This window comes from Homo sapiens, chromosome 3, assembly GCF_000001405.40.
Source record: "Homo sapiens chromosome 3, GRCh38.p14 Primary Assembly".
Lineage (NCBI taxonomy): Eukaryota > Metazoa > Chordata > Mammalia > Primates > Hominidae > Homo > Homo sapiens.
This window is the reverse complement of record NC_000003.12, coordinates 23,378,397-23,403,912: the sequence shown is the minus strand read 5'-3', so window position 1 is coordinate 23,403,912 and position 25,516 is coordinate 23,378,397. Positions and strand designations below refer to the sequence as shown.

The 25,516-nt window shown below is 37.8% G+C and overlaps 1 protein-coding gene and 1 pseudogene across 5 annotated transcripts in view, besides 1 other annotated feature; one reads left to right on the top strand and one right to left on the bottom strand.

Annotated features, from left to right (window-relative positions):
- Positions 1 to 25,516, bottom strand: part of UBE2E2 (ubiquitin conjugating enzyme E2 E2) — a 388,828-nt gene that overhangs the window by 188,013 nt on the left and 175,299 nt on the right. The gene's annotated exons all lie outside the window — the stretch shown is intronic.
- On the top strand, positions 14,004 to 14,252 carry C11orf98P3 (C11orf98 pseudogene 3; annotated as a pseudogene).
- Positions 14,131 to 14,230: an enhancer, noted in NCBI's record as "active region_19595". NCBI's record gives its function as "activates an Ori minimal core promoter by ATAC-STARR-seq in GM12878 lymphoblastoid cells {active_cell/tissue: GM12878}" and the evidence as "EXISTENCE:reporter gene assay evidence [ECO:0000049][PMID:35858748]".

Genomic DNA, 25,516 nt, shown 5'->3' with positions numbered 1-25,516 from the left:
TGGTTAATTCTTCATCTTGGATTGAAGTAGAAAGTACTTTTTGTTTGTCCTCTATGTTTTTAAAATTACTACTATCCTACAATGGCTTTTTTTTTTTTTTTTTTGGAGACGGAATCTCACTTTGTCGCCCAGGCAATCTCGGCTCACTGCAACCTCCACCTCCCGGGTTCAAGCAATTCTCAAGCCTCAGCCTCCTGAGTAGCTGGAACTACAGGCGTGCACCACCACATCCAGCTAATTTTTGCATTTTTGAAAATAGAGACCGGGTTTCACCATGTTGACCAGGCTGGTCTTGAACTCCTGACCTTGGGTGATCCACTCGCCTTGGCCTCCCTAAGTGCTGGGATTACAGGCATGAGCCACTGTGCCCAGCCCCTACAATGACATTTAATGCATATAATCACTCAGGATTTAAAACACTGATGACAGAGTTCTGTTATGTGGCTGCAGCATTATTCCATGAAAAGCCAAGTATGTATATTCAGAACCAACAAAGAACTTTCCAATAGAGTGTTGTATCGTTTGACGTAGGCAATTTACAAACAGCTAAACACAACACAAGGTTTGATTTTAAAAATAAGGTAGTGACTATTAATGGAGAAGTGAAACTGAAAATGTTGGGAAGATGTGAAATTTTCATGTTTTTGACAGTCACTGCAGTGTCCATAAAATTCTGCCCACAGGGGTGGTGTTTGAATGCTTAGATCAAGTATTGCAAAGTACTAGTGGTAACTGTGCAAAAATAATTATATTTGTTCAAGAAGTCAAATAATTTCAATTTCACTAGTCTTTTTTATCTTTTGTTAATTTGATTCTGAATGTATACAAACCATTTACATAGCAAGATCCAATATATTCTAGGCAGATCAGCCTGTCCCTCAGTTTCTAAAAGCAGCACTCAATCTGCCCCTGAGGCTGCCATGTACTCCCCTCCTCAAGCAGCCTTTGGCCCATAAAGCTTAAGGTATGTCAAAGGATGTCAAGGGTGGTTGAGCTGTGGTTAAACTCTGGTTGGGACTCAACCACATCTCTGGTTTGATGCCCAAACAGGCATCAGATCAAAGCCATAGACTTTTCCTAAGTATTCAAGTGAGTGTCACAAACTAAGGGTCTTGAGCTAGATCAGATGGCAACATTCTGAAAAGTTACTGAAATAAAAATGAGACTTTGTACTACTGCTATATATTCCTATTTAAAACATATAACTAGAGTATTTATTGTATTGTAACCCTGATGACATCACAACCATATACCTAGAGACAAATGTCAGATGAAGTTATTTTTTCTAAATACCTAATAAAAGGTGATCATATGTTATTTGCAAATAATTTCCAAACCAAAGATGGTTGAAAATCTTCAGGACATGTGGGCTAGCAACTAAATATCAGCTGAATTAAAGTTCTTAAAACAATTTCTAAACTTTAATCAACCCTGACACTCATCTAGTACTAGTTTTTGGGAAATGTCCACTAGTTTTTAATGGAACTAAAAACTTTGAAACCATTCTGGCCAAAATGGTTTTTTAGTAAATTGTTGATATACTTCCTCCGGCAAACTTATCTCCTGAAGTACTAGTGACTATCACGTAAGATCACTTGATAATAACTTGTCCTGGTGTGACATTACGTGGAAGTTGTTTCATAATGTTCTAGTCTTGTTCTAAGTTTATATTCTTTTCAAACAAAGATAGTGTAATTAACTTATCAACTAAGGGATTTAGAGAGACAAATGGGAGAAATAAAACCAAATATAAGATTGGGGTCGGGCGCGGTGGCTCACGCCTGTAATCCCAGCACTTTGGGAGGCTGAGGCAGGTGGATCACCTGTCAGGAGTTCTATACCAGCCTGGCCAACATGGTGAAACCTCATTTCTACTAAAAATACACAAATTAGCCGGGCGTGGTAGTGCACGCCTGTAATCCCAGCTATTCGGGAGGCTGAGACAGGAGAATTGCTTGAACCCAGGAGGTAGAGGTTGCAGAGAGCTGAGATGCCCCACTGCACTCCAGCCTGGGTGACACAGCGAGACTCCATCTCACAAAAAAAAAAAAAAAAAAAAAAAAAGTAGCCAGGCATGGTGGTGCATGCCTGTAGTCCCAAGCTACTCGGGAGGCTGAGATAGGAGAACTGCTTGAACCCAGGAGGCAGAGGTTGCAGTGAGCCAAAATAGGGCCACTGGACTACAGCCTAGGCGACAGAGCAAGACTCCACCTAAAAATATATATTTATACATATGTATATATAATGAAGTTCTCTGGCTATGTCCCAGGACCAATATAATTGAAGAAGATATTAATTAAGGGAAGAATGGGACAGGAGGAGAAAGTTAGAACGATATAGCTTCTTTACAGCATAGTAAGTTGGGAGCACAGGTTTTGAAGGCCATCAGACAAGAGCGCAAATAAAATCCCACGTTTTTACCTTTTCACATACAAGGTGATCTTGAGCAAACGGATTCTGAGTTTTGGTTTTCTCACCTGAATCGTGGGGGTGACAACACTAACCTAAGCAAATGTGAGAATTAAAGATTGTAAGGTAATGTGCTTATAGTATTTGGCATAAAGTGAGTCAATAACCAGTAGCTGCTACATTATTCTTGTTTTCTTTTCATCCATAATTCTTAGCCTCCAAAGTGTTTTGTATTCTAACTCCTGCTCATTTCTCTAGACTTACCTTTTCACCATACTCTACTAGCTTCTTGATCTTTCTCCTGTTACCTGGTGGGCAAAGTGGGTTCCTGCCTTCTGCACTAGCTGGTTCCTTAGCCTAGAATGTTCTTCCCAGAGACAGTAACATGATGATTCCTTCTAAGACACTCAAGCCCATAGCTTAAATATAACCATCTGAGAAAGGCCTTCCCTAGTCAACCATTCTAAAGGAACATACCAGTCATTCTTTAGCAGAATTCCATTTTAATTATCTACAGAGCACATCTTCACATCTGATTATTTTCTTATTTATTTGTTTGATTACAGCCTGTCTCTTCAAACTCAAACATAAACTCATTGAAAACTAACTTGTTCACAGCTGTATCCCTAGTACCCAGAATAGCCTTAAGTACCCAATAAATACTGGTAGAAGAAGGAAAGAAGGAGGGAAGGAAGGAGAAAGGAGGAGAGGATGAAAAAAGGGAGGGAAGGAAGTCTGGCCTATTAAAAAGTGAATTTGAAGCTTTAAAGGCTACTGTAATTTGATAGGGAATGTGGCTTTCTATTTAAGTGGATAATAAATGAATTCCTGTACTTAATTATAGTACTGAAAGGCCTGAGATGTGTGTGTGTGTGTGTGTGTGTGTGTGTGTGTGTTTCATTTATTCTCCTCTCTGTCCACCTGTAGATCTTAGGATGAACTTTGAGAAGTAACTGCTGACCATATGCTCCTATTCACAGAATGCACAAACTCATCCACTACTATTTTTCCTCATCAATACATTAAATGGGCAGAGCTGGGCACAGTGGCATGCACCTGTAGTCCCAGCTACTCAGGAGGCTGAGGCAAGAGGATCACTTGAGCCCAGGAGTTCAAGAGCAGCCTGACCAACATAGAAAGACCCCAACTCAAAACAGAAAATAAAATAAAAGGCTAGCTTCATTCCTTTTTATCCGTTTTCCGTTATGACAGAATGTGGTTAATTAGACAAAGAAATTGGTAAGAATTCTAGTCTGTAGGAATGTTTATGTTTTCTATAACAGGAACATGATTTTCCAAGCTTGGTATTTTGACAATCCTTTTTATTTTGTAAGCTATAAGCTAAGAATCCCTGTGAAACTACATTAATGGAGTTTCATAAGACTTTATCTGCAGCAATTTTTTTTAGACTTGTATATGACGGTAATATTTCTTTCAGCATTTTATCAGTGGAGTAGTAATAGTTCACATAGAGATAGTTTGCTTTTTTCATGCTCTAAAGTATTGTAATGTTCAAGAGAAGGGAGCAGTTAAAAGTGGCCTCCTGCGTAGTAGTAAGGAGCACAATTCTCAACTCAAATGCCAAATAAAGATGCAATCCCTTCAGCAAAAGTGAGGAAGAGTCTGACATCAACTGTTTTCTTCTTCCATTTCCACACTAGCAATATATTAATGTGAATAAAAATGTTTCATGATGCAAATGATAAACAGTACATTATAATGTAAAGTATTGTTGAGCAGGAAAAGAAAACTGAGTTGTCCATACGATTTTGTAAATATTTAAATTGGTTACATGCTAAATGTTTAAATTTCATTTTATAGTAGTCCTTCCCTTATCCACAATTTCCCTTTCTGAGGTTTTAGTTGCCTGAGGTCAACTGTAGCCCAAAAATATTAAATGAAAAATTCCAGAAATAAACAGTTCATATACTAATTTAGTGCAAAAGTAATTGTGATTTTTGTCATTAAAATGGCAAAACCACAATTACTTTTGTACCAACCTAACTGCACACCATTTTGAGTAGCATGATGAAACCTCCTACCACCCTACTCCAGCCCATACAGGACGTAAATCATCCCCTTGCCCAGTGCATCTACATTGTGTACACTATCTGCCCTTTAGTCACTTAGGCAGCCATCTCAGTTACCAGATCTCAGTTATCAGGATATCTCAGTGTTGTGTTCAAGTAACTCTTATTTTATTTAATAATAGCCCCAAAGTGCAAATGATGCTGGCAATTTAAATATGCCAAAGAGAAGGCATAAACTGCTTTCTTTAAGTGAAAAGATAAACGTTCTTAACTTGAACAGGAAAGGAAAAATCCTACGCTGAGGTTACTATGGTAAGAAACGATGTTCTATCTATGAAATTATAAAGAAGGAAAAAGAAACGTGATAAATGCCTATTAGTTAAGATGGAAAAGGCATTAAATACATGAGTGGAAGACATGAGAAATGTGTTTCAACCGACAGCAATGAAGTTTGGTACTATCTGAGGTTTCAGGCATCCACTGGGGTCTTGGAACATATCCCCACGTATAAAGGGCGACTAATTTCAAATTCAACACACACAGTTTTTATTTTTATCTAAGAAAAAGTTCTTATTCTACCAGTTTTCTGACAATTACATTAATATTTATAATAAGTATTTGATTCATAAAGTTTGTGTTTCTGGGACTTGATTTCAAGGTTTAAACCCAGATCATTATAAAGAAATAAGATGCATCCCCCATGTGAAGGCACTGCTATAAAACCCTGTCTTCCGAATTTCTTGAAATTTCCAGGCAGAGAAACAATTTCTAACAGTTTCAGAATACTTACACTACTGGTAACAAAGTAAAAACTACCTAAGTAAAGTATCATTTTGACATCAACATGGAGTTAAGATGAAATGTTCACTTAAGACACACATTCCTTTAATATACATACCTATAATGTATACTCAGTTCTCCACAAGTATTCATGGAAAACATCTGTCTTCTAACTTTTCCCACCACAAGTTATCACTATGATATTTCCCTTAAAATCAGAATTCTTAGGCTCTTCATGATAAGCCAGCCATTCCCAAAGCTGGGCAGAGCAAAAAGACCAAGATGATGAGATTAGACATTCCAAAACATAGTGATTACTTTGGAAAAATCCAAAGGTGTTAAGGAATCCCACTTTCCAAGTTTTTTTTTGTTTTTTTTTTTGAGATGGAGTCTTGCTCTGCTGTCCAGAATGGAGTGCAGTGGTGCCATCTCAGCTCACTGAAACCTCTGCCTCCCAGGTTCAAGTGATTCTCTTGCCTCACCCTCCTGAGTAGCTGGGATCGCAGGCGCCCACCACCAAACCTGGCTAAATTTTGTATTTTTAGTAGAGACAGGGTTTCACCATGTTGGCCAGGCTGGTCTCGAACTCCTGACCTCAGGTGATCCACCAGCCTTGGCCTCCCAAAGTGCTGGGATTACAGGTGTGAGCCACCGCGCCTGGCCCCAAGTTTCTTTTGAGTTCAACTGAACAATAGAAATCAACATTGTAAGAAGTGGCTATATAACAGACCGAGGAGAAAAATGATAGTATTTATCATTCTAGAAAGAATTAGGGAGAAATTAGTTTTCACTCTACACAAGGGAATAGGTATGTGTGACATCTTCAACTGAACGAAAGTAACAATGTCTGAGAATGAAAAAAGAAACAGGCATCTCCTGGAGTCTGGAGCTTAAAAAAACCATTATATTAAAATGTTCACCAACAGTGAAATAGATAAATGTGCTATAGTTATAAATGGAATACTACTTCAAAGAAAATGAACAAATTACAGTTCCCTACAACATGGATAAATCTTAAAAACTTAATGTCCAACAAAGAAGCCAGACACCAAAATGTAGACGGTATATGATCCCATGTATTGAGATGGTAAAACTATAAAGAAAATCCAGGAAGTGATTATAACAAACAGTGGTTACCTATGGGAGAAAAGAAGTGGTTATGATTGGGAAAGGGAATGTGGGAGATTTCTTGGAGGGGGGAAGCTGGCAATGTCCTATTTTACAACCTGGGTGGCAGTTAATGGATGTTCACTTTATAATAACTCATTATGCAGTACATTTATTCATCTCCATTTTTCTAAGTGTTATTGTTCACAATTTTCAAAATTGTTCAAAAGTTTACCAGTAATTACTTATTAGTAGTTATCTGTAGTCACTATCTTGTCATACAATCTGAATTGACTTTTTTATTTAGCCATCCCATATCTGTAAGCTTCTTGATGACAACTAGGTCTTCCAATTCCTCTGTATTCTCCCACAAAAAGTGAGAAAATGCTTTAAATGCTTAGTAAGTGCTCAAAAAGCTGTTTATTTTACCTGGCATTCATTCACTATAGAACTGTAGCACGATCGATCATATATGACAAGATTAGGGGTCTGAGGACTGATGTTTCAATTATAACCCTCTCTGGATCTGTAAATGGGCATAATCATACACTGGAAAAGTGTCAGGAAGAGGAAATGATGTAATGGGAGTTAGCCACTTCTCACAAGAGCCAGCACATTGCACAAGTCTCTACTTAAAGCAGGTATCACACTCTATTGTTCACCTTTCTAGCTCCCACTTGTCCACCCACATTGGTTTGTGACCACATCCCCCCTGTCCTGCATAATGCTTGGCTACAGCAGGGATGAAGTAATAAAAATCATATTTTTTTTGTTCTTAAGAAGAATAACAACATTTATTGAGTGCTCACTATGAGTCAAACGTTGTTGTATTTTATGTTATTTATCCCTGTATTATGTTATTTACTCCTATGAAGAAGTTACTATTATTATCTCCATTTTATAAAGAAACAGAGAGACAGAAAGGTTAAGTAACTTGCCTGAGGCCATACAGATTGAAAGTGGCAGATTTGGGACTCTAACTCAGGTCTACTGATCTACTGGATTCCTACGACCATGCTCTTTCTACTAAATCATGATTTTCTACTGTGTCATGAGACCTCAGGGGGTTTAGTAAAGCCTGTTTGGAAATTATATATATATGTGTGTGTCTGTATATGTATATGTATGTATGTGTATATACATGTATGTATACGACGTATACAGTGTATGTACACGTATATATACTATACACATATACATACATATATAATTTTTTATTTTATATAGATAAAATAAAATGCTATATATATATATACGTATATATATACATATATATATATATAAAAAATAAATGCTTGAAACTATGAGGTCAAGAACTTTGATCCTGGCCCAAATCCCAAATTTTAAATCCATTCTTAAGATATTCTATCTTCTGGAAATGTTTACAAATTCATAGGCAAAATTAAGTTCTGCCATATACTAGAAGAAATTATTATAATTATAGCCATTATACTAATTTGTGAAATAACTAAATATAGAAAATGCATTAAAAAGTCTTAAAGAGCACAACAATCAAAAGAACTATTCTTCAATACACAGAAGAGATGATTAATTTGAAGACGCATTTGTTGTTAAAGTAACAATGTAAGAAAATATTTCAAATTAATAAAATTTGGATAATTAATATGGTGGTAAAGAAGCTAATTTAATTGAGTTGCATGAAATTCCATTTCATTATATTCACTTGTATATTTAGTGAAGCTATAATCAAATTGAATACATACATACAAATTTTACTAAGTCTTTCCTTTTGCTCTGAAATAATCATCACACACCTGCTTATGCTACGAAGCATGTGAGCTGACAGAACAGAGAGCACTTATACCCCGATTCTCCTTCCTAGTTTTGCAGTTCAGAATAAAGTAAACAGAAAACTTAAGACTATGCCCTTGTTAGCATTAGAAATTAAAGAAGATTCTGGATTCACCCTTAAAAACTAACAATAAAAAAAGAGGTATGACTTCCAAAATATGAATTCGATAGAGAACCAGGTGAGGAGTCAACAAACCAGAAGGATGAACTCAGCTCAAAAGTCTACTAGAGAAGTCAATTATATTCTAATTCACCCAAATACACAGTGACTACTGTTGAATGCTTCTCGGATAGGTTGGATAACTTATAGACAGCTTATATTAATGTTCCATAATCTACTTGCATGTTTCAAACAAATTAAGTACATGTAACTACCCTGGAACAAAAAGGAAAAAACAGAATGACTCCAATTGCCTGTTTCTCTCATCTTACCCTTCACTGCAAAGCAGGGGATTTTTAGGTGCTGAAACTCCACCTCAAAGCGACCTAGTTGGTATCCGGAAATGACTTTACTAGAATCCAGACCTGGATGGATTTTCTGTTGTTTGGCTGCTTTTTAAGAGGAAAGCTGTGAGGGATAAAGGTAGTTCTAAATACATTTTAAGATGGAAGCTGTGAGGGATAAAGGTGGTTCTCAACACGTTCATCTATACAAAGAGCCGCTCCTCCTTCTGACCAAGTCTCAGGCTTCTTATGGGCTTCCCACCTTTAACCTCCATGACACAAGAAGTAGAAAATGATCTTTCTCTTCCTGTTCTGCTATTTCAGAAGAGGAGGGCTTTTCCTCCCCACTGGTTTGATTATTATTCCTAGGGTCCACACAGAGGACTTAATTATTGGGCTCAATAGCTTTGCTGATTTAGAGGCTGGTGTAACAATAGCAAAATCAAAGCAATACTCTGGCAGATCACCTTATTCCAATCAAGAATTGAGTGGACTGAAAGCTGGCTATTCAAAGGTAGAACACCTTCTGAGTGCTGTTCTACCTTTTGGGGATCGAAATGAAAACCTGGCTGTTTACCTGGACCACTCCTTCTTAGCAATCTCTGGATTCCAATTTTTAACCTCTGGCTCCAGAACAGTACCAGAGTTCTGCTCAGATTCTTAGCTACTGCTGAGAATTAGCGAATGACTGAGGATTAACGGTAGGGACAGAGTTGAGTCTCTCCCTCTGTACTTCCTTCTCTAGAATCCTGATACCTCAAGTCCTCACTGCCATCAAACAGATTTTGTCTTCCTCAGTTTTTCTAGTTGTTCTTGGCAGGAAGCACGGTCTATAACAAGCTCATCCACCATTACCAAAAGCAAGAATTTCCAAAGTTCACTTTTTTCCCATGATAAGGCTGAACGTTACCCAGCAAACTGTAAAGTCATACTCATGGTGAACATGCTTGAGGACCTCAGCAGACCATTTACACAATTTCGTAAAAATATACAATATTTTTACACAACGTACTTTCAACACTGTTGATAAAACATCACTGTATAAAATAAATATTGATCCATTTTCATAAAAACTCTCTCTCCAAAACTTGTTACAAAAAGAACCAGGTAAATTACTATCTTAGGCAAAATTGCGTGTTCTGGGACTGCAGGCCCACATACGGCAGAAAACAAGGACCATGCTGTTTGCACGCATCTTTCCAAACCAAGCAAGCTTAGACATCTGTCCATTATGCACACAGTCCATCCTCTGCCTACAGACCAGAGTATTAAACTCCCCATGCTGCTTTTTTCTGTTTTCATCAGTCAACAAATACAGTAATGCTCTAAGGCAGGTGTTAGCAATATTTTTCTATAAAGGGCTAGATAGAATTTTCAGCCTTGTGTACTTTTTGTCAGAACTATTCAACTCTTGCATTGTAGTACAAAAGCAGATGTAGGCAATATGTAAGTGAGTAAGTGCAAATGTGTCCCGATACAACTTTATGAATATTAAAATGTGAATTTCATATCATTTTCATGTGTCATATAATAGTCATTTGATTTTTTTAACCATTAAAAAAACTGTAAAAGCCATTTTTAGCTTGTGGACTGTCCAAAAACAGGTAGTCGGCCAGATGTGGCCCACTGGCTACAGTTTGCTGACCCCTATGTGAAAGCATTATTGTTTCATAAAATTAAGTCCTTGGCTTGACTCTAACATTCATTTGTCCCTCTTCCTCAACTTTTCCACCGTGCCTCTAAAACAGTGGTTCTCAAACTTTACTGTGCATTCAAATCACATGCAAACTTGTTAAAACACAGATTAGGGAGACATCACACCCAGGGTTTCTGACTCTATAAATCCAGGGCAGGACCTGATAATTTACAAGTCTAACAAGCACCCAGGTGATACTGATGCTGCTGGTCCAGCGACCACATCTTGAGAATCACTGCTCTAAACTTCTTATCAGCAAACTCTCATATATCCTGAGCATCTTCTTAGGACATTCCCTCACTTTCCTGACTTATCTGTAATCTATTTGTCATCTATCTGATACTTTTGGGAGTCTTCACAGACAGTTCCTCTCCCTCATACTTCTTATCCAATAAATCATTAAGTCATGTCTATTTTATCCCCTAAATATAATTTGATTTATCCACTTCTATCTGTTTCCCACCTTAGTCCAAGCTATCATCTTTTACCTTCAACAGCCATCTGGTTGTGCTCCCCACATACATTTTGCAGAACGCATGTAGAGGGATCTCTGTAAGATGAGAATCTGATTGTGTCACTTTCTTGCTTTTATGATAATCTTCCTTCACAGGCTTCCCAAGGCTCTGTAAGATTTGGCCTCCATCGCCACTTCTGCCGCATCCTCACTTAGCACTTGTGGCCTATACTTGTCCTCAGCCACTCTGACTTGCCCCTTCCTGGCCTTCAGACTTGCTGTTCTCAGCCTGGGATTTTCTTACTCTACTCCTCTCTCTTCTCAATCTGTCAATATTATTCATCTTTCACTTCTCAGACCCATATCATATCTCAAGGAAAGTCATTCTTGACCCTTCTGGACTAAGCCCAGAACCTCTTAACGTGCAGTTTTTCTAAGCATCTGTCTCCACATTAAAATAATAAAAAGAGCTAACATTTTACTAGGCAATATTCTGCTCTAAAACTTCTTCATATATTTGTTTATTTAATTAACTAGGTAATATTCTGCTCTAATTAGACCATGCAATATTCTGTTCTAAAACTCTCCATACATTTGTTTATTAACATCATAAAACTCCATAAGGTAGATGCTCTTAATATCATCCCCCTCCCTCTTCTTCTTCCTGTTTTGTTTTTTTTTAAACTATAAGAGGAAACTGAGAAATAAAGAGGTTCAACAGTTCACCCAAGGCTAAGCAGCTAGTAAGTAGAAGAGCCAGAATGCAAACCCAAGCTACTTGTTTCCAGACTACAAATACTATCTCTTGAATAGTAGAAAACTCAACTGGATTTTAATCTCCAGGGGCCAGGCACCAAGCAGATACAGTTTACACAGTCTCATGCATATCAGGCACTCAATTTGTTGAGTGAATGAGTAAACAAATTGGTTGAGTGTGCTAGCATAATGTTATATATTATTCGCTAGGCCATACTATAAAAGCTGATTTTAAAAGAGGGCTTTCCATTCTGCCATCTGTCTAAGCATAATGCATAACAGACTCCACTTTTTCAAGACTATACACTCTTGTTATGTAGATAATCTTTCAATTCTTCTAATACCCAATACTTGGGTATTAAAACATGATAAACCATTTTACTTACATATATGTAAGCCAGCACAAACAGAACATTAAGATGTATACAAAATTCAGTTATTAAATTACTGTGACAATTATTTTTGGAGAGGAATAGATATTCCTGAGGAATATCTTTATATTCAATGGGTACATAATAGAACAATGGTGGAGGGGTAATAACGTCTTAAATCACCCTTTCGTTCTATTTATTATTGATATACTATTTTAAGACATGATATACACATCCCTCACAATCCAAACTCTCCCTAACTGAACTCACACTACCCAAACTCAAGAATAAACTCTCTGAGATGAGGCTGTTTTCTCTGGCTCTTCAAGCTTTCACTGCTACTGGCTCTTCAAATTTCAGAAGCCAAAAATATGCGGTTAATGCAGTATCTCTCAGTATATAAGCTTAGGAAACAAAAGAAAATCAGATGGCAAGAAATACCTGAATGTAATTTATTTATTAATTTATTTAGTTTATTTTAATGAGTCAACTAAAAATCCAAATGCATAATAGTGCAAACACTTCATTAACTGGGTTCATAACAAGATTTTAAGCCTCCTGTGACAGTGGCCATATTTTTAAATGTTTGCATCATGCCTGTATCCAGCATATAGTAGATGCCCAACAAAAATTTTGATGACAAGTGAATGTGCTAATACACAGGCATACTGTGGCCACATTCCTGAACTATGGTTTGCATATACATTCTAAGTCTATTGCAAACCTACTATTATTACAGAACTGAGATTTAAAAATGTATAGTTTAAGTAGCAGTTAATATAACTGGCAACTTAGGCTGACTTCTAGGAATTACCTAATCATTAACTTATAATGTAGATAAGAACTCCAACTATGAAGTGTGACAAAATGCTACTGGCTGGCTGTATGACTTTGGGTAAGTAAACAACCATCCTGAAACCAAGGATTCAGATTTATCATCTGCAAAATAGTGATAATATACCTAACCACATAGAATTATTTTAAGGATTAAATGTTTCCAATGTATGTAAAACAAATAGCATTTCATAAACAAACAATAAGCATTGAAGAAGTATTAGTTGTTATATAACCATTATTATATATACAGATATAAACTTGTATATCTACATTATTACTTATTTATTCAAATTGAATGATTACAATTGTGGTCTACATATAGGTAAGCATGAACGCCAAAAGCAAAGATATAATGATGTTTCTTGTCATGTTCATATACAACAAGATAACAAGATGGGAGAGTTCCCTTGACCCCTTTGTGGGACTTGCAACAGGGGTATGGCTCGCTTACCTGGCCACCACTGAGCTCAAACCCCTTGTGGGAGAGGGAGCACACAGGCAAGCAGGTGCAGAAGTGCTTTTGGGCTCTGGCCCCACAGCACTGTCTAAGGGTATGTTACAATTAATGCTCTTTTAGCAGCTGCCATCTGCAGACAGCTGTTAACCAGCTCAGTGGAGAGTCAGGAAGACAGCCTTTTACACTCTGCCCTCTTGGTACCTGGGTTCGTGTTCAGCATCTAGGAAGGATCAGGTCACATGAAGGTCTGAAAGGTGATGAATGCAGAGGATTTTATTAAGCAGTGGAAGTGGCTCTCAGCAAAAGGGGAGCTGGAAAGGGGATGGTGCAGGAAGAAGGTGATCCTTCCCTGAAGCCATGTTGTCTCAACTTAAGCCACATCTATCTGTAGTCTCCGACAATCAGTGCTGCGACTCCTCTTGATGTTCAGCTGCTTTGCGTCTCTACCAGCTGAGGTTTGGGGTTAATATGGGTACAGGATAAGTGGGGAGGGAGGCAGGGCAGACCAAAAATGTAACATTTGGGAGGGAAAACAGGGATAACTGTTCTCATTCAGGGCCTCGGTTTCCAGGCTTAGGGGTGGGGCCTTTGCTGGGGAACTGCCCACTTCTACCCAGTATTTCCCTTCCTCTTATCCACATCAATACTAGTTCAGGCTCCTGGAAGAAAGATCAACCAGCCCAGAATGGTGGCTGAGTGGGGACCACAACTTTGTTTCCTCAAGCATCTAGGAGCCCTCTTGTCTTGCCTGAGATGAGATCAATGAGGAACTGGGGTTGCCTGGTGCAGCAGTTCCAGGTTGCAATGAACTGCCTCCATTTGATTTGCATCTTTTTCTCCAGCTGGAATCGAAGAAGCAGCTGTTCAGGCACCTGCAGGTGTTGAACTGGGAACTGCAACTGAGGCACTGGGTGGTCAGGACTGTGACAGACCAAGGGTTGATTTTGCCACATCACCTCAAGAAGTGGGTATCCAGTGCACCTACCAACATTACTCTATCGGGGAAGAAGCACAGAAAACCCCTCTAGTGGATCTGACTTGCCCAGAAAGAGAAGGCAGCGATGGAAGTGAAATCCCCCTCAAAGCCAGCCACGACTAGTGAACCACAGCTCAAAGGGCAAAATAAGACAAAAGCCCCCCAGGATGTAGACATGAAGGAACTTGAAGATGAGAGCTAAAGTTCTTACCTCTTCCATCAGAAGATTTTCAAAGACTCAGTGGTTGCTTCGGAGAACTTTGGAGAAAGCACTGCACCTTTCACTCTCTCCAGATTTCCTTTTCCCTAATGTCCTCCCCGGAGAGATGTCTTGGGAGGGAAGACGGTACAGAAAAAAGTTTGGAGGGGCCTCTCTAGCAGTCAACTCCATTCGTAATAAAGCCCTAGAGCTCTGACTGAGATGTGTGTGATTAAATGTAGGAATGGGGATGCACCATGAAAAGAGATCCATGACAATAAGGAAGCACAACTCACAGAGCTTGCTTGAGCAAATACAGGAAGCCAGCCTCTGCCAGGTGGTGCTCCGCAGGATTGCTTGAGGCTGTGATCTCATCTGCTCCCTAGTAAGTGATACTCTTTTTATTTATGACAAAAAAACATAGATTATTGTAGGGATGGCAGAGGAGGTAAGCGTCTTCATATCAGTCCTGCCACTGCCCCTGTGGGACCAGGGTAGGCAAGTCATTGTTTACCTCTTGTGTATTGCTTCTTTTGCTGAATTATGTTTTTTTCTTTTTCTTTTTCTTTTTTTTTTTTTTTTGGAAATGGAGTCTTGCTCTGTCGCCCAGGCTGGAGTGCAGTGGCACGATCTTGGCTCACTGCAACCTCCACCTCCCAGGTTCAAGTGATTCTCCTGCCTCAGTCTCCTGAGTAGCTGGGATTACAGGCATGTGCCCCACCCAGCTAATTTTTGTATTTTTAGTAGAGACGGGGTTTCACCATGTTGGTCAGGCTGGTCTTGAACTCCTGACCTCATGATCCGCCTGCCTTGGCCTCCTAAAGTACTGGGATTACAGGCGTGAGCCACTGTGCCTGGCCTGAATTATGTTTTTAATAAAACAAAGACCAAATATTTTTTTTAAAAAATACTATTTAAATAAATGGAATGGAAGCTGATGTCAAAGAAATTGTTTTCTAATGCATAAAATAATCTGAAATATTTCATTAGCATTAGAGTATTAACATGTAGCTTTGCAATAAAATGAAAAAATGCTACATATATTTTAAGGTGCTAATAAAAGCTTTAAAACCTCTCGGACATTCTTTAAAATTATATTTCCACAAAAATGCACTTGTAAATAGATATCATAAGGTTCTCAAGTGAGATAACTTCTCTATGTCTAACAGAGAGCTGTCTCATTATGAACAGAGATGTAAGAGAACAAACAATATTAATTAGCAGAGAGAATATCCCCAAATGCCAATATTTTAAGGCAAACCAGCAGTGAGAATTCCACCTGCAAAAGGTGCTACATATTTCACTGTCTATGATAAAATGTAATTACAATATAATTATAGAAGCAGGCAAATATTGCTTAAGCAGTCCTTATTTACTAATAGTCTTAGAATATTTACTCCCTAATGTGATTATGAGCCAATACTGCAAAGAACAGTATTGCAGCACAGACCTTAATTTCTTTGAAAAAGGTTTGGTAATTTTTCTTAGGTAGCTGAGAATTATCAGGTGTTTTGGAAAAAGCAGCATAAGGCCCAATTCCATTTGCTTGAAACTAAGTTTCAGTTTTTCAGGAATTTTTTTGTCCTCTTTAATGGCTATTCCTCTCAGTCATTTGGTTGTTTTCATCCAAATGTCTCTTCTGTAATTTTGCAGTATGTTATTTTTAGATCACATTGAAAGACAATTCTAGATGTGACCCCACTAGCAGCATTAGAGAAAAAGTCTAATTCTGTTAAGCAATTTGACAAGCCACTTTAAAGGTCTACAGGAATTCGCCAGAGACAATGAGGGTATCATATCAAGAATAACAAGGACTGAAACCTCTGCTACAACTGTAATTTATCTTCGTTTATTTTCAATGGCCTGTCAGGCACTTCATACCTACACTTCAACGGTTGAGTGCTTAAAACAATACCTAACAGCAAAAACACACACACAAATAATTAAAGATGGTAAAGAAAGAGAGAAACATGAGCCATTGATAACAGGGACTAATTTTATACAAAATTGCCAGACTATTTTGGGGCCTCATCATGATCTTTTCTGATATGTCATTTCACTTAAAAAAGGCCATGACAAGAAAAGACAAACATGAGAAAACTGTGTCCTATAGATAAAAAAGGGAATCACAATCATAGCACTTAAGGGACACAATTCATGCAAGGTTGGTTTTTACAGACACAATAAAAGAGTAGCAAATTTGCAGAGGTTGAAAGTAGGGGATTTACCTGAGATAGAAGCAAAATCTAATCCAATTCACCTTTTGAAAAGAACTAAAGAATAAATACAAAGAAAGAAATAGTACTTAGTGCTTTATGTGAAGAAAATCTCATAGCCTCTATTACAACGTCTGCCCTGTAACCACAGAAATCTATAACCAGTCTATTTAAACCATCAGGAATAGGAATACTACATTTAGTCTTCCCAGAAACAAGTACTGCTAATAGCATCTGCATATGTGCGTCTTAAACTTTGCTTCATTTTGAACTCTACTCCTACCCTGAAATCAGAAAGTCTTTGTAGATATTAGCCTCAAATAGAGTTCTTTTTCATAATCCTTTATAGGTACTTTTCAAATAGCAGGTACTTTAAAATGCTTTCTAATTCAGCAACTTGGGTAAACTGTAACTGATCAGAAGGTCAGGCAGCAGGGACCACTATTAACAGGAATTGTATTTTCTGATCCAAGTATGAAGATATGGGTTCTGACAACAGGTCACAATGTATGAAAACTGAATGGCCAGCAAATCTAAAATATAAGCCATATGTATTGACAGAGGAAAACAGTCATTCTACTTCAAATTCAAAATTCTACTCCCTACTCTGAGTATATAAAATACTTGACAAAAATGAACTGATTAGCTTACTTTCAAAAGCAGTATCTGTCAAACAATAATGTGACGATGGCTCTTAATATGTAAAAATTCACTTCAATATGCTTGTCTCATATTAAAAACTCATTATACATTTAAATAAATCCATGAAAATAAATATAATAGCTGAATTGTTCTGGTTTGGTAATACCAATTAGACAAACAGTTTTATTATTCATCTACAGAATAAACTCACGCCTTTTAAGAACCGAACTACCTGTAATCATTCTTATTCCTTTACGGATACTTTCTGCTATGGTCCGAATGTTCGTGTCCCCGCTAAATTCATATGTTGAGATCTTAACCCCCAACCTGATTGCATTCGGAGGTGGGGCCTTTGGGAGGTAATGAGGTCAGGATCCCTTAGAAAAGAAGCTTGAGGCAGCTTGGTTGCCCCTTCCACCCTGTGAGGAGCCACGGAGAGGGTGCTGTTCTATAAACAAGGAAGGGGACCCTCACTAGACACCAAATCTGCCAGTGCCTCAATCTTGGACTTCCCAGCCTCCAGAAAAATGAGAAAGAAATTTCTGTTGTTTATAAGCCACCCAGTTTATGGTATTTTGTTACGGCATTCCAAACAGGCTAAGACATTCTACAATTATTAAAGACAACTACTTATATGAAATAGTGTTAAAGAGATAAATAGCCTGAGCATTCAGACATGATCCACACTAATAAATGTTTGTAATTCTATTCGATTTTAGAACTAGCTTTGCATCAAATAAGTTGAAAAAATTTAGTTTGTTTTACTTTCCTTCCCAATTTATCCAGTTCTCACAATCATAATAATAAAAACAAAATGATGACAATAATAGCAGCTACCACTTATGTATCAGGCTAAGCTGTTACCTATTTTTGGAATGTCCTCCTTTATTGAAAAACTTCCTATTCATCCAGCATACAGATGTAATGTGCTCAAGTGCAACAATCTGTGAGAAGCCAGTACAAGAAGCTGATGGTTTTTCTAAATTACTACGACTTTTGTCTCTACCACACAATCTTGCATTCCATGATGTAGGACTTTGAGGACTCTGCCCTCAAGAAGCTGATCAAAACAGAACTTAAACCCACATATGGAAATGAGATTTGGCTCTGCTAAAGATCATATCTGATTTCTTTAAGCAGTTTCATCAGCATCAGCTGTGAGATACACCTGACATTAACAGACAAGGCAGGATTACAGAGCAAGCCCTGGAGTCTAGCCAATTTACCATCCTTGAAACCATGCGGGATGCTATATGACACTATTGAAAATAGGTGACAGAAGGCTATCCAAGCAGCTGTGGCATGGTGATCTAAAATAGAAAGATCACAAAACAGGCAGATGGAAATGTTTTAGGAGCACAGTGAATCACAGCATCAAATGATAAAACACAGTTCAAGGAAGACAAGAAACAATCATTTTTGTAAATGCAATAATCAGAAATGAAGTGATTCCTTTACAGCAAAACCACTGAAAAGAACATGATCCTAAAACAATCGCTTGCAAACAGGGAAAGAAGGTGTAAATAACAGTTGCAACTCAAATCAAAGGACAATGTAATACAAACATCATAAAAAGTATTAAATTATTTCTTTAAAGCAGTTAACAACCATCATTAGAAGTATTTTTCATTGGCCAGGTGTGGTAGTGTGCGCCCGTGGTCCCAGCTACTTGGGAGGCTGAGGCAGGAGAATCACTTGAACCTGGGGGATGGAGGTTGCAGTGAGCTGAGATCATGCCACCGCAATCAGACTGGGCAACAAAGTGAGACTCTATCTCAAAAAGAAAAAAAAAGAAGAAATATTTTTCATTATTGTCAAGACACAAAAATCTAAATTACACTAAGACAGAATTTGAAATGAGTCTGGTTTTAAAAATTACATCCAGGGGCCAGGTGTGGTGGCTCACGCCTGTAATCCCAGCACTTTTGGACGCCGAGGTGGGCGGATCACGAGGTCAGGAGTTCAAGACCAGCCTGGCCAATATGGTGAAACCCCGTCTCTAATAAAAATACAAAAATTAGCCAGGCGTGCTGGCATGTGCCTGTAGTCCCAGCTACTCGGGAGGCTGAAGCAAGAGAATTGCTTGAACCCCAGAGGTGGAGGTTGCAGTGAGCCAAGATCGCACCACTGCACTCCAGCCTGGGTGACAGAGTGAGAGTCCATCTCAAAAATAAATAAATAAGAATAAAAATTACATCAAATGTCCAAAGAGCAAATTTTCCAGGGTAGAAATGTTGCTCCCTTTTTTAGTGTAAGACTTCAAGGTCAGGCGCAGTGGCTCACACCTGTAATCCCAGCACTTTTGAAGGCTGGGGTGGCAAGACTGCTTGAGACCAGGAGTTGGAGACCAGCCTGGGAAACATGGAGAAACCCCAACTCTACAGAAAATACAAAAATTAGCTGGGTGTGGCAGAACATGCCTTGTAGTCCCAGCTACTCGGGAGGCTGAGGCAGGAGGACTGGTTGAGCCCAGGAGGTCGAGGCTGTAGTGAGCCATGCTCGTGACACTATACTCCAGTCTGGGTGACACAGTGAGACCCTGTCTCCAAAAACAAACAAAAAACTTAGCTGGGTGTGGTGGTGCATGCCTGTAGTTCTAACCACTTTGGTGGCTAAGGTGGAAGGATTGCTTGAGCCCAGGAGTTTAAGGTTACAGTGAGCTATGGTTGCATCACTGTACCCCAGCCCAGGACACAGAGCAATCTCCAAAAATACAAAACAAAACAAAACACAAACCATCACTTTGAGCACGTTAAGGGCTTAGATAAATTGTGAGGTTAATTTATTAATAGTTTTATATGGCATGAAACTGAAATTTTTCCTTTTTTTTTTTTAAAGAAATAATGCATTTCATTGATGGATATACTATTTCCCTATTCAGCAGCCTAAAAAAAAATCATATTGGTACAATAACAAAGAATAACTTAGTTTAAAAGTTCTACAGCATTAAGTATATATCATCAAGCTTCAGAGAAAGGGAAAAACTGAGCTAAGCAGGGCTCTAGAAGAAAATATATTTTCAGATATTGCCAGGCTCCAAATTTACAAGCAAGTTACACCCCAACACTTGTAAAACAAAACAAAACAAAAAAAACCTCAGTATCTTTTCCAAATAAATAAATAATAATTAGGTTTACAGAGTGGCCGACAGATGCCAATTTAATCCATAATATGCCTAAAATAATATACATCTGCATTGAAAAAGGTATGCAGTGCCACTGCAATGCTTACCAGTTAAACAGAAAAAAAAAAAGGGGGATAAAATGCTCATCTCTTAAAAGTCAATCGGCTTCTATTTCATTCTATATAGTTGTTGATTTCGTCTACTTCTCTAAATTTAATCATCATTTGCTAGATTCCAAATCTATATTCCCAAGCCAGATTTTCCTCAAGGTTTGCTAATGTATGTGTTCAACTGCTCACTGAACATTTCTACATCAGTCTTAGACAACTTAAATCCAGTATGTCCACAGCTGAATTTATACTGCAATATACTTCAAAAAAGAAAAAAAAAACTGTGTTATCCACACATGGACTAAGTTAAAACCCTGAGTCCCTGACCCCTACAACAACATCCAATCAATTATCACCCACATTAATACAGTAACATTCTAACTGTTCTTCCTACTTTTACTTTTCTTCCTTTAAACTCATTATTCAATTTCTGCCAGTACTTCCTAAAACTCAACTGGAAAATGTTACTCTTATTAAAAGTGTTCAACTACTCTTCTTAGACTTCAGTTAAAGCTCCTTAACGTACATTACAATGCTCTTTACAGTTTACACCTGTTTATTCCTCCTGACTCTTACCTCCTTGGTACAAAAAAAAAACTAACCTTTTCACAATTTGATTTTTAAAAACTGTCATTCCCTTCATGTCTGGTCCTTTGCACATGTTTTTAAATGTATTAAGAAACTACAGAAAAAGACACAATCTTACAACAGTTATTTGTTTAAGGAGTAATATTTCCTTGTATTGATAAGCCTAAATGGTATTCAAACCATGGATCTTAATTATCTACACAAAATGGAGTCCACAAGCAAAGCTGTGATTTTTCAGAGTTTTTTAAAATGTCTAATTTGGTTAGGAATAGAAAATGTAAAATAATAAATTATGTATAGTGAATACTACTTCGCTCAAGATAAAAATTTGGAGTTATTTTAAAATATGAATATCAACTTCTCTCCCAAATATGCCATTAATACGCTCATATAGTAAAACCAGTGTTTAAGATTTTAAAGTAAGGCCGGGCACGGTGGCTTATCCCCATAATCCTAGCACTTTCGGAGGCTGAGGTGGGCGGATTACCCGAGGTTGGGAGTTCAAGACCAGCCTGGCCAACATGGTAAAACCCCCTCTGTACTAAAAATACAAAAATTAGCCAGGTGCAGTAGCACACACCTGTAATCCCAGCTACTCTGGAGGCTGAGGCAGGAGAATCGCTTGAACCCGATAGGTGGTGGCTGCGGTGAGCCGAGATTGCGCCACTGCACTCCAGCCTGGGCTACAGAGCGAGACTTCGTCTCAAAAAAAAAAAAAAAAAAAAATTAAAGTATTCGTAATTATGAAGAGTAGTGTAAATCACCTTAGTTTGTTGATATTTCATAAAATATACCTAATAAAATAATCATAAACTGACAATCATAAGTAAAATTAACAACTTCTCAAATTGAAACAACTGTTTTAAAAAGTGGGTTGCGAGAATAATCCCCTGGATGGGAAAGTAGCGGGGGAATGGAGAAGAATCTTTAGATCATGAAGACCAACTAACAGAATTTTGTGAGACCCCACAGTAAGCAGCCATTCCGCCTCCCACCTTCTCAGTCTACATCCTTCTCCACTCTCCGGGGCAAAGCAGCCTCAAACACTGGGAAACAGCATCTAACAATATATTGTTAACATAATCAACACCATGCCCAAACAAGAAAACTCCTTTATTTTCATCTAAGTCAACATAGATAAAATTTGAGACTCACAATTATAAAGAACAGTAATTCTCATTGACAGAAAAAGTTATCAGCAGTTACTTCTAAATGATATTCATAAAATGTTATACAGTATCTTTTATTAAGTAATTTGTCCCTTCCTAATATTAACATAATTCAGGGGGATAAGTGATGCTCCATGTGCCTGAATTTCAGCTAGCCGGGGTACTGGCAGACAGGTCCAGCAGAGTAATAATGCGGAGCTCTTACAGAATGACTAACACACACCCATTACCTTAGAGTGCTTTTTCCTAAACAAATTAAATCCTATACATACTTGAAAAAATACCCATAACTTACCTTCTTCTGAGACACTTCATAAACTAATGCCATATGATCAAATGACATTTTTTTCTTCTCCATGGACAGTGAAAATTATAGATTTATTGGAATTTTGGATAGTTTTTCTAACTTTGTTGCCAGGAATATTTTTCTACACATTCTTACCACAGTTTCCCAGAAAGAGATCTTACCTGACCATCTGATTTGAATCCAGAGCTAATCTATACCTTAACTTTATTCTAAGCCTATACAAGACAGATGAAAATATGATCTTCAGATTGTGTATACTGTGGGAAAATAAAAACAAAAAATATCAAAAGGCAGATTTATAAGAAGATTATCTAAAAGTCTTCATTAGAAAAGAAGAATTAAATAAAGTGCCCTTTCCAGTCAGGAGAACAGGAGGCATGAAGATTCTATTCATTAACAACACTATCAATGGCAATACTGTGGACCCTAACAATGAGGCACAGAACAAGACTACTGAAGATGAAAATACAGTTTAACTCAAACGGTTCCCAAATTATAAACTAGTTATGTTTCAAAACTTGGTCTACCTACCTTAGTGCTTAGAGCTTGGAATTCACTTACCTAATTAAATTGTTTTACATAAAGTGCTTAAATCTCATGGCAGCTCAAAAAAAAATCACTTAACCTACACTGTACCTGAAATACAGAGTACTAGAGAATCCAATTCTAAATCAAGGGGGAGCATATGGACTTAGAACCCCTCCAGCCAGATCAAAGTCACTGATAGTAGGTGCATAAGCATTCCAACAGAGCTGGGCACAGAACACGAAAGGTAAAAACAGGACTATAGAAAATTAAGGTCAGGGAAATCAATTCCCAGGAAGATTTCATCTGACTGTAGGGCCTATGCATTAAATATGAGCAGAAGGTATAGGGCAGGGAGGCCTGCTAAAGAAGAAAGTGAGGCTGGGCACCGGTGGCTCACGTCTATAATCCCAGCACTGGCAGGTGGAGGCGGGAGGATCACTTGAGGCAAAGAGTTCAAGACCAGCCTGAGCAACATAGCAAAACCTAGTCTCTACAAAAAATTTAAAAATCAGCTGGGCATAGCGGCACACGCCTGTAGTCACGGCATGTGCCTGTAGTCCTAGCTGCTCAGAAAAATCGCTTGAGCCCTAGAGCTCCAGGCTGCAGTGAGCTAGGACTGCACCACTGCCCTCCTGCCTGAGTGACAGAGCAAGACCCTGTCTCTAGAAAAATAATTTTTTTTTTAATAAAGAAGAAATGGGATGGTAGTGATGGTTAGTCACTACCACAAGAGTATAGCAATTTCAACAAAATGATTTTTTTTAAATTTCCAATAGAGAAGTTCGCAATTTCAGGGTTTTTTTTTTTTTTTTTTACAGTAATCAAATGTTCTTAGCATTTTCTCCCTTTATATTCAAGGTAAAGTAACAGTTTTAGCTCTAGTGTAGTTTCACTAAGTTAATTTATGATAAAGTGACAGTATCTGGGAGAAAGACTGCCCCACTGATTCCTTCTCACTTTTCCAAACTTATCTCTCACTTCTCTTCCCTTCATTCACTAAGCTCCCACTGCACAGGATTACTCTGAGTTTGTCTAACGGACCAAACTCCTTTCTGCCCTAGGTCTTTGCATATTTTCCTTCTACTTAGAGCTTACCTGCCCTACTTTCTTCAGAATTTCAACGTAAAGGTCACCTCCTCAGAGAGGTGTCTTTCTAACATCTCTCTCTCCCATCACACCATGTCTTAGTACCATGTCCGAGAGAAAATTAGAACTCAATAAATACATAATCTTGGAACCAACCCAAATGTCCAACAATGATAGACTGGATTAAGAAAATGTGGCACATATACACCATGGAATACTATGCAGCCATAAAAAATGATGAGTTCATGTCCTTTGTAGGGACATGGATGAAACTGGAAATCATCATTCTCAGTAAACTATCGCAAGAACAAAAAACCAAACACCGCATATTCTCACTCATAGGTGGGAATTGAACAATGAGATCACATGGACACAGGAAGGGGAATATCATACTCTGGGGACTGTTGTGGGGTCGGGGGAGGGGGGAGGGATAGCATCGGGGGATATACCTAATGCTAGATGACGAGTTAGTGGGTGCAGCGCACCAGCATGGCACATGTATACATATGTAACTAACCTGCACAATGTGCACATGTACCCTAAAACTTAAAGTATAATAAAAAAAAATAAAATAAAAAAATAAATAAATACATAATCTTGAAGAAACATGGTGGAATCTCTGTGGAACATTTCTTCAGATGTGAGGAGCTACTTCATAATTATGTATTTTAAATTTTTCAGTACTTTGATCACAGACATTCAATCTCACAAGACAGTCAAACAGCATTTTGAAAAGAAATCCCTCTCCCAAAGATTTACATAAACATATAGCAGGACTAATTTTAAAGAAAATACTTCAGTCACTGAGAAGTATATGGATCACAACATAGGGGTTGCACAAATGTCAGCAAATCACTGCTACTAAAAATGTAGTAATTAAAGGGTGTTATAGAGATTTGACAAAGAAAATAGGTATTAATGTTATTTTTCTCTCAAGTAAAAATTAGGTAGGCCAAACAGGTAATATTTTAAGTTAAAATATCAACTATACAGTTCTGTTTAGTTCAGAGTCCCCAAAACTTCAGTCAGCTGAGTGTAACATTTGTACTTTCTCCCTATCCTCATACTAGTTTTCATGCTGATTTTTAAAATCAACACACTTTTTAAAAAAGCATAAGTAAATGAATTTCAAAGGGAAGCTGTCAATTCAAAAACAGAAGCCAATTCACTTGCAATTAGAAGGTGATCATAAAATTTACTGTACATTACTTTTTAAAAATTGAGAGCTATCTATAAATATTTTACATATAGGTACATGTGCTACCAAGAGCTCATGTAACCAAGCTCTGAGAAACATGGGTTTGACTTGCTGGTCTCTGCAGAGGACAGGGTTTGGCCACATAGCATACACGCTATTACAGTCTGGAAGAACAAGGCAGCACCTCATATTCAACTCTAGCTTCACATGTATACTTTAG